General features: G+C 54.0%; 1 protein-coding gene and 1 pseudogene across 25 annotated transcripts in view; one reads left to right on the top strand and one right to left on the bottom strand.

The window, feature by feature from the left end:
* Positions 1 to 25: 25 nt before the first annotated feature.
* On the top strand, positions 26 to 6496 carry NSUN5P2 (NSUN5 pseudogene 2; annotated as a pseudogene). Its single transcript, NR_033323.3, has 11 exons — positions 26 to 164; positions 310 to 430; positions 1112 to 1278; positions 1359 to 1463; positions 2494 to 2637; positions 4593 to 4731; positions 4828 to 4943; positions 5298 to 5476; positions 5687 to 5897; positions 5981 to 6121; positions 6192 to 6496. The product of NR_033323.3 is annotated as an NSUN5 pseudogene 2 (transcript).
* The window catches only part of POM121 (POM121 transmembrane nucleoporin), a 72103-nt gene continuing 58944 nt past the window's right edge, over positions 3330 to 16488 (bottom strand). For 13 of the 24 annotated variants that reach the window (NM_001387688.1, NM_001387689.1, NM_172020.5 and 10 more), the window contains 8 exons: positions 16108 to 16199; positions 15380 to 15453; positions 14821 to 14942; positions 14273 to 14375; positions 13796 to 13972; positions 11267 to 12952; positions 9081 to 9203; positions 6490 to 8652 (listed from right to left, as the gene is read on the bottom strand). In NM_001387688.1, the coding sequence (NP_001374617.1) occupies positions 8555 to 8652; positions 9081 to 9203; positions 11267 to 12952; positions 13796 to 13972; positions 14273 to 14375; positions 14821 to 14942; positions 15380 to 15453; positions 16108 to 16199 (2475 nt within the window). In that variant the 3' untranslated portion in view covers positions 6490 to 8554. Of the gene's footprint in view, positions 6462 to 6489; positions 8653 to 9080; positions 9204 to 11266; positions 12953 to 13777; positions 13973 to 14272; positions 14376 to 14820; positions 14943 to 15379; positions 15454 to 16107; positions 16200 to 16488 lie in introns of those variants that run through there. The other 11 variants (NM_001367610.1, NM_001387702.1, NM_001387703.1 and 8 more) reach the window with 5 other exon arrangements.

The raw sequence follows: 16488 nt of genomic DNA, 5'->3' as shown, positions 1-16488 counted from the left end.
GGACCCCGGAAGTCCGGGCGGGGGCAGAGCCGGGTGCGCTTTGCGACAGAGCCGTAAAGGCGCGCGGGAACATGGGGCTGTACGCTGCGGTGGCAGGCGTGCTGGCCGGCGTGGAGAGCCGCCAGGGCTCTATCAAGGGGCTGGTGTACTCCAGCAACTTCCAGGTAGCGGGCCCGCGCGCCACAAGTAGGGGTGGGGGGTGAGGAACCCGGGGTGGGGTGGGACGGGCCCGGATGGGGTCGGGAGGTGGGGCCCGGCGAGGAGGGCCGGGGGAGCCCCCGACCCAGCTTGTCTCCCTCGGCCACACAGAACGTGAAGCAGCTGTACGCGCTGGTGTGCGAAACGCAGCGCTACTCCGCCGTGCTGGATGCCGTGATCTCCAGCGCCGGCCTCCTCAGTGCGAAGAAGCTGCAGCCGCACCTGGCCAAGGGTAGGGGCGGGGCGGGGAAGTGAACCCCGACGGTCAGCGCTTTGTCATCTGGTTTCAGCCCCGCTGCCGTGCACGGCGGGACTGGAGCAAGTCGCTCACCTGAAATGAGTATGAGCAGACCTTCCCTGGGTTACGAATTGAGATGGGATGAAAATGCTTTAACTTCGAGTGTTTTGAAGGATTAAATAACCGAAGTACAAAGTAGTAGTAGCGGAGACAGTAAGGAAGTCGGGCGTGGCGGCGCGCACCTGTGGTCCCAGCTACTCGGAAGGCTGAGGGGGGAGGATCACTTGAGCCCAGGAGTTCGAAGCTGCAGTGAGCTGTGATGTGGCCACTGCACTTCAGCCTGGGCGACAGATCTAGACCCCATTCTAAAAAAAAACAAAAACCCCAAACCCACACCCACGAAAGGGTAATGTTGGCAAGAAGTTGGGTGCAGAGGTCTACTGGTGAACATCTGTGGGGAAAGGGTCTAAGGCTGGGAAGCGAGACGCCAGGTTCCGATCCTGTTGTGTAGTTAATTTCTGGTGTGGTCTTGAGTAAGGTACCCCACCTTTATCTGTAACCATCTAGTCAGGTGATCTCTTTAGCCATTCCAGTGCCCGGGCTCTATTAGAGTTAGTTCTAAGGCATTCATACTTCTTGCTTAGGGCGTTTCTGTCTTTGATCCCTCATCCCCAGGTGCTAGTGTATGAGTTGTTGGGAAAGGGCTTTCGAGGGGGTGGGGGCCAATGGAAGGCTCTGTTGGGACGGCACCAGGCGAGGTGTTGAGTTGGCTCGGCTCAAGGTTCTTCGGGGTGTGAGCTGGCATGAGGACCTGTTGGAAGTGGGATCCAGGCCTGGTCCAGGTGAGCTGGAAGGAGTTGAGGGGCGGGGGAGGTGGGGAACTTTGCTCCTGCCTACTCACTGCTCATTGCGTCCTACCTAGCCTCCCAGCTGCCTCGATTTGTGCGTGTGAACACTCTCAAGACCTGCTCCGTTTATGTAGTTATTTCAAGAGACAAGGTTTCTCCTATCAGGGTCGGGCTTCCAGGTGAGAGCTTAGAGCCCTGGCTGTCCTCATCTAGGGAGGTGTCTGGGGTACTGGGAAGAGAAGTGGTTGGATAGTTGTGACTTTGCTCTCTGGGCTTTGTTCCTACCTTTCCAGCAGTTTCTCCATCTCCAAGGTTTGTTTTCCTCGCATCCCTTAAACATCGAACTCCTAGGAGCCCCATCCTACATTCTTCCGGAGCTCTCCGTTTTTTCTCTAACTTTAGCTCCTGCCTCCCACCTGGTGATTCTCACCGCCCAGTGTAGACTTCCCTTTTGCATTCTTCCCTCCTTAGGTTCACATGAATGCACCACAGATGCCACAGTCGCTGCATTCATCTTTCCTCTCAGACTTTACACTTAGTACATCCCCAGTTTAATCTAACAGATGTCACCGTTTTCCACCCATTTGGTCAAGCCAGAAACCGAGTCATCCTAGGTGCTTCCTTCCCCTCCCTCCAATCATTTACTCCTCCACCTTGAGCATCTTTCTCAGCTCCACTCCTTTTTTTTTTTTTTTTTTTAGGACTGAGTCTCGCTCTGTCACTCTCACCGAGGCTGGAGTGCAGTGGCATGATCTTGGTTCACTACCTCCAAGGTTCATGCAATGCTCCTTCCTCAGCCTCCTGCGTAGCTGGGATTAGAGGCTCCCACCACCATGTCCAGCTAATTATTGTATTTTTAGTAGAGATGAGGTTTCACCATGTTGACCAGGCTGGTCTCAAACTCCTGACGTCAGGTGATCTGCCCATCTTGGCCTCCCACAGTGCTGGGATTACAGGCGTGAGCCACAGTGCCCGGCCTCCACTCCTTTCTCTTAATTCCCCCGGACACTGCCTAGGTTAAGCACTCATTTCTTATTGGGATGACCACAAGAACTTCCCAGACTGGTCTCTCTGCTTCCAGACTGTCTCACTGCATTTTCCTTGAGGTTGACTGTAGGAAGCTCTAAAGGCAGATCTGATGCATTACTCCTCTGCTAAGCCTTTTTTTTTTTTTTTTTTTTTTGAGAGAGTTTTGCTCTTGTTTCCCAGGCTGGATGGAGTGCCCTGGCGCGATCTCGGCTCACCGCAACCTCTGCCTCCTGGGTTCAAGCGATTCTCCTGCTTCAGCCTTCTGAGCAGCTGGGATTATGAAGGGGTGGCCTGCCCCTCCACATCTGTGGGATATCTCATCAGGTGGGACAAGAGACTGAGAAAAGAAATAAGACACAGAGACAAAGTATAGAGAAACAACAGTGGGCCCAGGAGACTGGCACTTAGCATACCAAGGACCTGCACCAGCACTGGTCTCCGAGTTCCCTCAGTTTTTATTGATTATTATTTTCATTATCTCAGCACAAGGAATGCGGTAGGAGAGCAGGGTGATAATAAGGAGAAGGTCAGCAAAAAAACCTGTGAGCAAAGGAATCTGTGTCATAATTAAGTTCAAAGGGAGGTACTATGCCTGGATGTGCACGTAGGCCAGATTTATGTTTCCCTCCGCCCAAACATCTGTGGAGTAAAGCATAACAAGGCAGCATTGCTGCCAACATGTCTCGCCTCCCGCCATAGGGTGGTTTTTCTCCTATCTCAGAATTGAACAAATGTACAATCGGGTTTTATACCGAGACATTCAGTTCCCAGGGGCAGGCAGGAGACAGTGCCCTTCCTCTATCTCAACTGCAAGGCTTTCCTCTTTTACTAATCCACCTCAGCACAGACCCTTTACGGGTGTCGGGCTGGGGCACAGCCTCTCATCCCATGAGGCTATATTTCAGACTATCACATGGGGAGAACCTTGGACAATACCTGGCTTTCCAGGGCAGAGGTCCCTGCAGCTTTTCACAGTACATTGTGCCTCTGGTTTATTGAGACTAGAGAACGGCGAAGACTTTTACCAAGCATACTGCTTGTAAACGTTTTATTAACAAGGCATGTCCTGCACAGCCCTAGATCCTTTAAACCTTGATTCCATACAACACATGTTTTTGTGAGCTCAAATTTGGGGCAAAGTCACAAATTAACAGCATCTCAGCCAACCAATTGTTCAAGGTACAGGTCAAAATGGAATTTCTTATGTCTTCCCTTTCTACACAGACACAGTAACAGTCTGATCTCTCTTTCTTTTCCCTACAGGATTGCAGGCATGCAGCACCATGCCTGGCTAATTTTGTATTTTTAGTAGAGACGGGATTTCTCCATGTTGGCCAGGCTGGTCTCAAACTCCTGACCTCAGGTGATCTGCCCACCTTGGCCTCCCAAAATGCTGGGATTACAGGCATGAACCACCGCGCCCGGCCATGCTAAGTCCTTTCTTGGCTCCATTGTGCTGTCCCTCCTGCTTCCTCTCCAGGTCCATCTGCCACAGTGCTACGTGCACCAGCGTGCCAGCAACAGTGGCTGGTCTCTGCCCCGTGCCTCCTCCACTGGGCTCACACCTGTCTTATTTTGTCCTTTGGTGGCTCTGAGAAGCAGCCTCTGCCCCTCTCCCTTTCCCTTACTCTTTGTAAGATCCTCTTCCTTCTGCCCTACCATGTTGCTTGGACACCAGGGTGGAATAGCAGAGAACGGCTGCTTGTGTTTGAATTCCAGCTCTGCCACTTCGATAGATTTCTGAACTGAGACATGTGACTCCCTAGGCCTATTTCTGCATGGGTCGGAGAGTGGGCGGGACTGCTTTACTGAGTTATAGTGAATGTAGTTTTAACCTAAGCGCCTCACATGACTAACTCCTCATCCATCAAGAATGAGCTCAGCTCTCACTTCCCCACTCCTCACCCCCCTGTAAAGTAACCTTTCTCCAAGGTTATGCTTCAACAGGAATAGCTAACATTTATTAAATTGTGGCACGTAAGTATCTTGGATATATTGGCTCATTGAATCCTCACACCTACTATTTTACAGAGATGCCAGTGGGGCTTGAGATTGAATCACTTGCCCAGGCTCCCACTGCTGGTAAACAGTAGAGGGGGCTCCTGACCCATAAGTCTGGCTTGACAACCCATTCCCTCAACTGCGGATCCCGGATTCCCTTATCACCCTGTTGATTTCTCCATAGCTGTGGTAACATTTGTTGCATGAATGGACCGTTGAAATAGGGCCTGGCAGGGAGAAATTCAGGAAATGATGAATGAATGGTTCTTCCCTGGCAGCCTCGATGACTTACGAGCCCTCAAGGGGAAGCATTTTCTCCTGGACCCCTTGATGCCGGAGCTGCTGGTGTTTCCCGCCCAGACAGATCTGCATGAACACCCACTGTACCGGGCCGGACACCTCATTCTGCAGGACAGGGTAGGCAAGAGGAATAGAAAAGGGAAGAATGTGTAGGCACGGGAAGGGCCTAGCCTGGGGTCTCTGTTTACCCGGCCCCTGTGTTCTGCCTGCCAGGCCAGCTGTCTCCCAGCCATGCTGCTGGACCCCCGCCAGGCTCCCATGTCATGGATGCCTGTGCCACCCCAGGCAATAAAGACCAGTCACTTGGCTGCTCTTCTGAAGAACCAAGGGTGAGTGCCACAGGAGGAGGAGGAGGACATGGGGTTTGATTTTGTGCCTTTCAGTGGGTAATGAAGGCTGAAAGGATGACTTTCGCTTAACTCTTTCCTGCTGCACCAAAGTAGTTCACGGTATTTGCCCCAAGCTAAGCTTTCCCCACTGCAGGTGTGAGATGTGGATCCCTTAGCCCTTGGGGCAGAGACCCCAGGCCAGTTACCTCTGACCCTGGGCCCTTTAAATATAGGCTGTTTCAATATTGTGTGTCCTGGCTTAACCTGCATGTTCTGGTTGTCTGTGTCAGCTGTGACAGGCCCTTAGCTGCTCCATGCATGCTCAGCTCACCCCTGCTCTGCCCTCTGCCCTAGGAAGATCTTTGCCTTTGACCTGGATGCCAGGCGGCTGGCATCCATGGCCACGCTGCTGGCCTGGGCTGGCGTCTCCTGCTGTGAGCTGGCTGAGGAGGACTTCCTGGCGGTCTCCCCCTTAGATCCGCGCTATCGTGAGGTCCACTATGTCCTGCTGGATCCTTCCTGCAGTGGCTCGGGTGAGATGGTGAGAAGGCGTGGCTGAGGGACTCAGAGGTCCACAGCAGCTTAGACCTGGAGTCATCTGTTTTGGTCTTAGTTCTGACACTTTAATGGGCTTGGGACCCTGGAGCAAAAGTTCTCCTCTGTGAAGCGAGGATTTCAGGAGCGAGGATTTCAGGACTGAGGCAGCCTGTGAAGCTGTGTAACCGAGACACGCTTTTCCTTAGGTATGCCGAGCAGACAGCTGGAGGAGCCCGGGGCAGGGACACCTAGCCCGGTGCGTCTGCATGCCCTGGCAGGGTTCCAGCAGCGAGCCCTGTGCCACGCGCTCACTTTCCCTTCCCTGCAGCGGCTCGTCTACTCCATGTGCTCCCTCTGCCAGGAGGAGAATGAAGACATGGTACAAGATGCGCTGCAGCAGAACCCGGGCGCCTTCAGGTACAGGGCGTGCGCCAGGGTCGTGGAGGGGGGGATGGGGTGAACTGCTCTCTTACCCAGCATTGGGGCTGTTTCTCTTGCAGGCTAGCTCCCGCCCTGCCTGCCCGGCCCCACCGAGGCCTGAGCACGTTCCCGGGTGCCGAGCACTGCCTCCGGGCTTCCCCCAAGACCACGCTTAGCGGTGGCTTCTTCGTTGCTGTAATTGAACGGGTCGAGATGCCGACGTGAGTGAGTGGGGGCATGCTTGGGAGGCGCAGGATGGTACTGGCACATCTAACATCTACATTTCTCTAGCTCAGCCTCACAGGCCAAAGCATCAGCACCAGAACGCACACCCAGCCCAGCCCCAAAGAGAAAGAAGAGAGCAAAAAGCTGCAGCCGGTGCTTGCACACCGCCTTGCACATAGCAGAGGCTCCGGGCTCACTCCTTCCTGGTGGGAAAGGAAGATGCCTGTCCTCTCCGTGGAAGACCCTGGGCCCTCACCGCAGGCAGCAGTTTGCGTTTTGAAAGGTTATTGGGTCCCTTCCTCGGGCTGTGTTCTTGCTGGTGAGCAAAAGTGTTGCCTGCAGAAATAAAATGCAGAACGTACTCTACGATAGATCACAGTTTTTTATTCTTAATGTCACAAGCAGGAGAAAAATCTCACATTCATACTAAAAATTCCAACTAGACTCAACAGGAATGAAGTCTCTATTTGTAATGGAAAGTCCCAGCCTCCCGCTGCCGTCCAGTGCGTGTACTGTACACATCCACACTCATTCTCACTCAGGGTTCCCGGACCGGCTGTCCTGCCTGCGGAACTGAGGTAAACTAGCTCAGGTACTGACACTAGGAGGGTCTACCTTACATAAGGTACAGGTAGAAGCTTGATTGCTAGGCCCAGGCCCACCCAGACCCTCCAATCCTAACAGGTATTTAGGCTTGAGGTTCACTCCCTCCTCAGCTGCACACGCAGCCAGGTATTAACGAGGATCAGAGCTGTTCTGAGGGGTGGGAAGGAGCAGCCCCGCCACCACTCACTCACCCTCAGTCACATCGGGGAGGGGGCACCAGTTACATTTACATCACATTATTTATAAAATAAGAATTACATTTCATATAACATGGCCAGAAGGAGCTCTAGTCCCCCAGGAAAGCTGCCGGGGACAGCATTTGAGCCTCTTCTTTGCACAGGCATAACTTAACTATACAGCTAATTCCTAGTTAATAGCATTTATACTTAACCACCTCAATGAACCAAGCTTGAAGGAATTTAAAAGGCAATTTAGCTTAAATACAAAAATAAATTTTTGTTAAAAAACGTTTAAATATTTTTTTCTTTTAATTTAGACACACGCATTCATACTTCTCCCAAAGAGGTTGGGCGTGGCAGCAAGGCGCTTGGGCCTGGGGTATGTGGTTTCAGAAGGACGGAAGGAAAGGATGGGCTGCAGAGGGCCCTGTTTGGGAAAAATAGGATTTTAAAAATATGGTTCATTAATTTAGGTTTTCTAACATCTACTTTGGGTGATGTAGCCTCCAGTGAGGTCAGTTAAGTGGGACAGAAACGGCAGAGGGAAGAGGTCTTTGCTTCCCCTGGGCCCATTCTCCCTGGCTGCCAGCCCTTGAAGTCAGAACACCATGGGAAAATTCAGGAGTCGGCACTTGTAGCCGTCAAGTGGTGCTACTTTCCACATTCAATTAGCGAGGCCCCAGAAAACTTGAAACAGGAAGTCCGGCACTACCAACATGCCGCCACTCATACAACTCAACTCTTCCTCCAAACTCGATTCAAAGAGCAATACACAGAGCATCAGACAAAGGAACACAGGACAAGGCTTGAAACATACAATCCTGGAGAGGCAGACGAGGGCCCAATGGGGCCAAAGGGTAGCTGGGCGAGGAGGCAGCTGAAGCAGCGGTGGGCATCCTGCCTGCTCCAAGAGCTTCTCCCTTCACCCCTGGCTCTGCCAGGCTAACAGTCTTGAGCCACCAAGCTCTGAGGGGCCAAACTGGCAGAGGGTTGGAGATGAAACATTGATTCAGGCTTGGCAGGAAGAAAACGGCAGGAGCAGCACCCACTGGGGTCTCCAAGGCAAAGCTAGATTCAAGGGCATTTAAAAACGAAGGAATCCTGCAAGGAACTGGTGAGGGACACAGCAGCAAGAAATGGGGAAACAGAGTCCCCAGAAGGGACCAGAGGAAGAGAACCACTTCTCACAGCTAAGCCAAGCAAGATAAAGCTTTACGGATAGCCCATTTCCCAAATCCCATCAGGTGCACACCACCGATCCAGGCGGGCTGGACCCTGCCCCCTCCAGCGACGACGGTCTCGGGGAAAGGTGGAAGGGGCGCCTGCCTAAGGGTGTGCTAAGCGGGAGTCAGGGCAGCGGACACTATGTACAGGTGTTTCCTTAGTTCTCCAGCCTCCCCAGTAGAACTGTTCAAGTAGAGGTCCCGGGCTTTGGCCCTCCGCATCCTGCTTCCCCTTCCCTGAGGCTTGTGCTTCCTCCAGAAGGGAAAGGGCCCCAGGGCTGCCACTGCCCCCTGGCGGCTGAAGCCAGAGATCCGGGGTAGGTTTGCTTTACGCAACTGGAAGGGTCCAAGGCTCTTCCTAGCAGGTGCCAAGGTCCAGATTTAGGGAAGGGGTGGGGGGAACAGGGACAGGGGACAAAGGCTACTTTTTGCGGGTGTGCTGCCTTCGGGCCTGCAGTCGCTGTCGAGCCCCTGGGGTCTTGGATCCCGCACCAATGGAAAATGAAAGGGCCGCCGATCCTGGAAAGATTCAACAAGACCTCATCAGGGCAGCTGCTACCTGAGACTCTGACTCTGGGTGCCCAAATCTCTGGAAGGCCAGGCCAGTAATAAAACACAGGGTGCCTCAATAGGGCTTTCCCCGCTGCATCAGAAACACTGTACGGGAGAAGCCTCCTGAAATGCAAACTCCCAGAGAGTCTCAGAGCGAGGCCCAAGAATCCATTTTTACCTGGCTTCCCATGGGAGGCAAACTTCCACCCCGGACAGCTCCTCTCTGATCTCTGCCATCCAACTCCCATCCCTGGGTTGTGCTGGACTCCTAACCCGAAATGTCTTTCCTGTGCTGAACCTGATCTTCACCGGGCCTCAGAGGACCAGGAACCTGCCACCCCGCCCAACCCCTCCTCAGACAGATGAGCAGGGCCACAGGGTGGCTTGCTGCTTACCGAAAGGTGCAACACCAACAAAGCCTTGGGCGGGTGCTGAGGATGCCCCAAAGGAGAGGCTGCTGCCTGATGTGCCCACTCCAGGCGCAGGGGTGTTCAGACCAAAGGTGGGGGTGGCGGTGCCTGGAATGAAGAGAACAGAGAGCTGGCCAGTGAGCAGAGGGCAGAGGCAAGCGAGGAGCCGGGCAGGAGCCTGTGCTCCGCAGGGCACTTCCCACGGGACCCTCAGCCCCACTTCTGCTTCTGGGGCACTCCTCCATCAGCAGCTGAGCCAGACAACCGAGTCTTCATGCCTGGTGCCCCAGCTCAGCCTGCTTCTCCCACCCGCTAATGGCCACGCCAGGGCAGAGAAAAAGCCCCCCTGCCCCGCAGCCACCTCGTGGGCCTCCTGACCATCGCTGCAGAGGGGAGTACTCTGGGGCCCCCGCCTCCTAGCGTACCTGGGTTGGCTACCTCCTCTGTTCAGGCCTTTTCCCCCAGCCACCGTCCCCTCCCCTCTGAAGCCTGGTTTGTCCGTCCCGCGTCTTTTGTGATGCCCCGTGGTCCCCTCCCTTCCCCGGCCTTGCCCTGACTGGCTCTGGCTGCCTGCCCGAGGCCCTCTCTGGCAGCCCCTCTGCAGGGATGGCTGCTCTCAGGGCTTGGCCTCCGGCCCGGACAAGAGGAAGCTCCCTGTGCTCCCACGCTGCTTCCACACTGTTTCTCTTCCTTCCCTAAATACCGTAACTCAAGTTCAGATCACTTTAATCTGCCATGTCCTCATGTCACCTGTCAACTGCCAGGTCACTCCCTGATTCACAGAGGACCCTTGGCTCACTGGCTTCCTTCCCATCACCACTCACGGTGACTTCGCCCTGTGAGGCTGACTGATGGTCCTCTCAGCCCCTCAACCCTGCCACCCCCATGACCTCCTCTCCCCGACCCCTGCCACCACTCCTGCAGCCACACTGTCACCACAACTGCTCCGGCTCCCGAATCTCCTGTAGGCACCACCCCTCCTGCAGCTGACTTCACCCGCTCTCCACTCCTGCACCCCCTGAGCTGCATCGGGGCACTGACCCGCTGCCCCTCCTGCTGTGCTTGCTGGGGTCTCCATGGCCGGGTGGCACCAGCTGTCCGCTGACCTTAGGTCTACACCCACAGTGTCGCTGGGAAACACATGCCATGCTAACTGGCCTCACTTTAACTTCACAATCACAATTTTCCAGCCCACAAACTGCCTGGAAACTGATCACACTTTTTAATATGATGTTCCTTTCCCCCACTGTCCAAAATGACTATTTCAAAAGACCCCTTTTTTTATACACTTTATCCTGACCCTCTCTCTCCCAGATTTTCTCTACTTCACGAAGCAAACAGAAGCCATGGGATCTACATTCATCTTCCACATGGGAGGAACCATCACTGCATCCTTCTGCCTGATTCTGCAATGGTTTTCCTGAACACTTAAGACCCAAACACCCAACCCTGGCCACAAACAATCCTTGCCTCTTGGCCTCCTTCCACACCACTGCTTTAGCTCCTGCCCTCCTGCCATGCTTGTCTTTGTTCTGCTCTTCAACATACCAAACATGTTTCTGCCTCTGGGCCTTTGCATGCGCCATCCTGGGCCTGAAAGGCATGTCCACTTGTGCTGTGCCCACCCCCATATTCAGCTTACGGTTTGTTTTTTGAGACAGAGTCTTGCTCTGTCACCCAGGCCGGAGTACAGTGGCATGATCTTGGCTCACTGCAACCTCCAACTCCTGGGTTCAAACCATTCTTGTGCCTCAGCCTCCTGAGTAGCTGGGATTACAGGTGGGTACCACCACGCCCGGCTAATTTTTTGGTATTTTTAGTAGAGACAGGGTTTCGCCAAGTTGTCCAGGCTAGTCTTGAACTCCTGGCCTCAAGTGATGCACCCTCCTTGGCCTCCCAAAATATTGGGATTACAAGCGTGAGCCACTGCGCCCAACCTTCAGCTTACAATTGTTAACTACTCAGAAGGCCTTTGACCAGTTAAATCCACAATGGCTCCTCCAGTCATTACTACGTTAGCAAAACATGTATCGTTCCCTGGCATCTCACTGAGTTCTATATTCAGTGCCTGTCTCTTCACTGCCACAGCATAAGCTCCCCGAGACCACAGGCTTCGCAGGCACAGCTTTTCAGTGTCCGGCCCGGTAGCCCAAGTCCACGCCCCTCCTTACCTCCAAACACAGGTTTGCTCTCAGTTGTGCTGCTCACGTTGAAGGCAAACGGTGTGCTCTGGCCGGTGGTGCCCAGGGCGTTCTGACCTAAGCCCCCTGCGAAGGGGGTGGAGGTGGCTGTGCTCCCACTCTGTCCTGCTCCAAAGCTGAAAGCTCCGGTGGTGGTGCTGGAGCCTGGGGTGGCCACATTGATCCCAAAGCTCCCACTGCCAGCGGGGGCTGCCGAACCCCCAAACGTGAAGGGTGATGGTGTTGTGCTGCCAAACACCGAGCTGCTGCTCCCGCTGCTGGCGGTCTGGGTGGTGGCTCCAAAGCCGGAGCTGGTGGCTGCACCGAAGAAGACAGCAGTGGAGCCGCCAAAGGCGGGCTGTGAGCTGGCGGGAGCGCCGAAGGCCGAAGCCGTGGCTTTCAACCCAAACGCCGAGTGCGTGGCACCGCCAAAGATAGGATGGATGGGCGTAGGCACGTACGCAGGCACGACCTTGATCATGGACGGAGGTGCAGGTGTGGGTGCAGCAGCCGGGGCTGCAGAGTTTCCAAAAGTGAAAGAGCTGCCAAAGCTGGGGGCAAGGGCCGGCTTGGCGGCCCCCGGTGGCTGCCCCTCAGCGGCCCCAAATGCGGGCTGGGGGTTGGCTCCCGGATATGATGGGAGCGGGGACTTGGCGCTTGAGCCAAAGGGAATGTTGAACGTGGGGGTGCTCGTGTTACTGAACGTCAGAGTGGGCTGGCTGCTGGTGGCCGGGGCGGAGGTGGCGAGGGTGCTGCCAAAACCACTAAAGTCGGCAGCGCTGCTGCTGGTGGCCGTTGGCACGGCAGTGTGCAGGGACTGGCTGAAGGTGGTGACTGTGGTGGTTGTGGGCAAGGCAGGAGGTTTGCCAAACTGGAATATGGAGCCCATGGCCGGGGTGAAGCTGGCAGCAGAGGCCTGGGGCGCCCCGAAGAGGAAAGGCTGTGAGGCGGCAGTGGCGGTGCTGGTCGTGGTACTCACACTGCTGCTGCTCACACTGTTTATGCCAAAGCCAAACGCAGGCTTCGAAGCAGAGTCTGTGGATGGACTGGCAGAGGTGATGGGAGCCACAGCAGAGGTGGCGCTGGCCAGGCCAGTGAAGAGCGGGGCAGTTGTGGTGGGAGCAGTGGCGGGAGTAGTTGTCTGCTTGAAGAAGGGAGCAGGCAAGGGCACAGATGCAGGTGGCCCCATGCTGCTAAAGACAGGCTGGAAGGTCGGGGCTGTGGTGCTGGTGGTCGTGGGGAGGGAGGAGCTGGAGGGCGCTGTGGCTGTGACTGAAGGGCCAGGCGGTGTGGGGCCTTCCTTCTCACTCTTGGGTGGAGCCGTGAAAATGGGCTTGAACATGGGAGGTGCTGAAGATGCAGCAGGGGCGGCAGGGCTGGAAGGTGAGGTGTTCTGTGTTCCAAACAGGAAGCTTTGCTTGGGGGCGGGGGACGGGGCAGATGTGGCTTGGGGTTTGGTAGCCGTCTCTGCCTGAAGGGTTGGAGGTGCCTTGGTGTCAGTGGCTGGTACCATGGATGGAGCAGGGATCAGCCCCAGCAAAGTGGTCGGGGGTTTGGAGTCAAAGGAGGGGCTGGGGAGCAGCCCTGGCGGCCCTGACTGTGATAAACCCAGCGGGGGTAGGAGGCTGGGTGTCTTTGGAGGTGAGAGGGCCTCAGTGGTTGCTGCTCCAGCAGATTCTGGAAGAAGAATAGAAAATGTGAAATTGGAATAAACACTTCAAAGATGATGGTATTCAGTATTTCAGTGTCCTCCCCACGCCTACCACAGAGCCTGGGATCCAAGAGTCAGTCAATAAACTCAGCTAAGTCTACACTACAGGCCTGTACAGTAAATCAAGGAAGTGTTATTTCTACCTCACAGATCATCAGACAGAAGGGGATAAAATGGGGCCTAAATGGGGGCCTAATGTGTAGAGACTAAGACAGTCCAATTGTCTGAACTCTGAAGTTCACGTATGAATCTAGATATACTTTATTTGCCTACTAAGCTCACCTGCCAGGCGCTAAGAGCACACAACTATGAATGGGGAAGTCTCTGCCCTTGAGCAGGGAGGGTGCGTACGAACCCCAGGTTACCGTCTGATAAAGAGGTGTGCGCGCGCAGTGCCGTGAAGGCCTGGGCCGGGAACACCAGCAGCCCTCGAAGTGCTGGAGGGAAAGGAAGCAGTGCTGTTCTGGACCAGTGGTTCTGACAGGCAAGGATATCCTGACCACGCCACCACATTCACACTTCAGAGGTGCCGCACAGGGAAGATCATTCTCATCTGACAGATGAGGAAGGCGAGGCTCAGGGCAGCTACGAGCCAGGCTTCAGATCCTGAGCGTCGCAGCACCCCTTCTCTAACACTTCCTGATGCGGGCTCTGGCGCTGTTAAACGTGGGCCCGCTCCGGTGTGCTGAGCCAGGGTGCGTTCGGCCTGCAGAGCAATCTCCAGCGACTGACAGGCACGACGCCCTTATTCCAACTCAAGCCGGGGATGCTGCTCAGAAGGCTGGATCCACGGCCCCACTCCAGCTCACCTGGGCAGGGTGGCAGGCTCGGGGGAGTCTGCATCTTCTTCAAGCTCTCTAACAGTGGGTTGGTGCTTGGGGCCAGGAGGGAGGTGGGTGGGGAGGCAGGTGCAGCAGCAGGCAGGGTAAAGGTAAATGAAGGCTGAGTGATAGGTGGGGTCTCAGTGACAGAGTTCGAGGCAGCATCTAAGAAAGAAAGAAAGGTGAAGCAGTCCTGGCTTGTCTGGGACTTCTTTCCACATGCCTGTCGGAGAGCAGGCTCTCAGCACAGCTCATGGAGGAATGCCTGCCCTCAATTGCAGTGGTCCCTGCTGTCCAGTTCCCGTGAAGACCAACACGGATATCTCAGGTGAGAAAGACCACAAGAAAACATGGAACCCTACTTGGGATTTTCCCAGAGAAACCCATTTTTTCAAACACCAAAATAAAACCAAAGAAAACAGACACCTGAAACCTCTCCAGTGTGCAACAATCTGTGCTCCTTACCGCTCTTGTCCTCCAAGGCCTGGTTGAACCACTGTAATGAAGCCTTCTTCTCTAAGTCTAGGTCCTCGGCAGTGATCGAATAGCCAAGCTGGGGAGGTGGAGGCTACCAAAGTGAAAAAGAAGAAGTCAGGCCAATCAGAAAAAACGGGAAGGCTAGGCATGGTGGCTCACACCGGTAATCTCAGCACTTTGGGAGGCCAAGCCAGCTGGATCACTTGAGGTCAGGAGTTTGAGGCCGGCCTGGCCAACATGGTGAAACCCCATCTCTACTAAAAACACAAAAAATCAACCAGGCGTGGTAGCAAGCACCTGTAATCCCAGCTACTTGGGAGGCTGAGGCAGGAGAATTGCTTGAACTCAGGAGGCAGAGGTTACGGTTAGCCAAAATCGAGCCACTGCACTCCAGCCTGGGTGACAGAGGGATGTTGTCTCAAAAAACAAAAACAAAAATAAATTAGAAAAAAAATCAGAAGAAACTTGTCCTTAGCGTTCCTAATACTTAGGAGAGCTAAGCCGGGGAGGGCAGGAGTAGATGGACAAGACCATACCAAGGTCAGCTGTTCCCCTCGCCGAGAAGGCAGCAGCTGAACTTTCCGCTTACGCTGCCCAGAGCTGCCAGGTGTAGACTGAGAATTCGAGTTTTGTTTCTTCCTTGGGGTTGTATCTGCAGCTAAAGAAAGAAATCAAGACTCGTTTGCTTCCTTCCCTCTTCCAGAAATGGATGGTTGTGTCTACCCACTTCGCATTTCACATTGAGTTTTCAATGGGTATCTCTGAAAAGATTCAATCTTCTATGGTTTGGTTGCTTGGATGGTGTTTGCAAGATTAAGGCGCGCACACAAACCGCTTACTGTGCAGTAATTACTGGGATCACCCACAGGTGACTCAAACTGAGCTTACCTCTATCCAATCGTTAGTCCCTGTCTGTAGCCTTTCTCCCTCATCAGACTATAAACTTCTGAAGGAGAGGAAATCTCTCTCTTTGTATCTAACATGCCTTAGACATAGCAATGCTCAAGACCTTTTTTCAATAGGTATTAATCTCTACATCCTCCACAAACACCTCCACCACCAACAGCAGCCCCTCCTCCTGGCTCAGCAACCTACCCTTTTCTCCCTGGGACTCCCTGTCTGCTGCCAATGGAGTTGAAGAACTGGAATGATGACACAGCTCCTCTTCTCTGTCAGGAAAAAAGGAACAATTTAGTCTAGAAAGGCTTCTTGGCTGAAGTATTAAATAATTTCTCACACCCTCCTAACTACCAAGTGGCCAATGTCTAAAACAACCATCATTTAAGATCTCAGTATGCCAGGATAAAAAAAGTCAACAGGAAATTCCAACAGAATGAAGGGAGGCTGTTCACAGAGGCCATGAAGACAGCTTTTGTCTTAAAACAAGCACAAAACAATAATCTTCAAACCTTACTTACAACCTATCAAGTCCCTGGGAGTTCTAGACACAGATGTGATCCCTGAGGGAGTGGCATTCCAGCCAACTGCAAGCACCTAGGGGGTCAGCTCGAGTCAAGAACCTGAAGGCGACTGCCCGCTGACTTGACTCTCTCTGCTCTCCACTCTGCATGGCCTCTGTGCTTGCACCCGATCCCTCATGCTGGAGTGGGAGGCGACAGCCAGAGGCCACTGGAGTCAGTATCCAAGACTGTAGGGATGACAGCACTTCGGGTGGGTACTGCATTGTACCTCTCAGGGACTTAAGTTTCTTTGATTCTCCAAGTCACAGCAGCACAAAGCCTAAGAGCCAGGTTCGTTTCCCACCTTTCCTCACCCCCGCCTGTCCACGCAGCAAATGAAAACTGCAGGAGAATGCCAAGTACCTTATTTTCTTTGCTGGCCTCTCCGGTGTCTGGGAGCGGGAGGAGGCTGGGCTAGAGAAGGGTGATGAACTGGGGCCATTTCTCTTCCAGAGCTAAAAATCAAGAGGGACATGACTGAGCCTGCTGATAACTTAGCATCTGACCCTCAACACGACAAAGTCTCTTTTCAAGTGACTAAAAAAACATTCTTTATGGTTAAATGGTTAGTCATGCCTGTAATCCCAGCATGCTGGGAGGCCAAGGTGGGAGGATCGCTTGAGCCCAGGAATTTGAGCCCAGCCTGGGTAACATAGCGAGACCCCTGTCTCTACAAAAAAACTGAAAAATCAGTTGGGTGTGGTGGTTTGCATCTGTGGTCCCAACTACTCAGGATGCTGCAGT

Source organism: Homo sapiens, chromosome 7, assembly GCF_000001405.40.
Source record: "Homo sapiens chromosome 7, GRCh38.p14 Primary Assembly".
Classification (NCBI taxonomy): domain Eukaryota; kingdom Metazoa; phylum Chordata; class Mammalia; order Primates; family Hominidae; genus Homo; species Homo sapiens.
The sequence above is the reverse complement of the archived record's forward strand: the minus strand, read 5'-3'. Positions and strand labels throughout refer to the sequence as shown.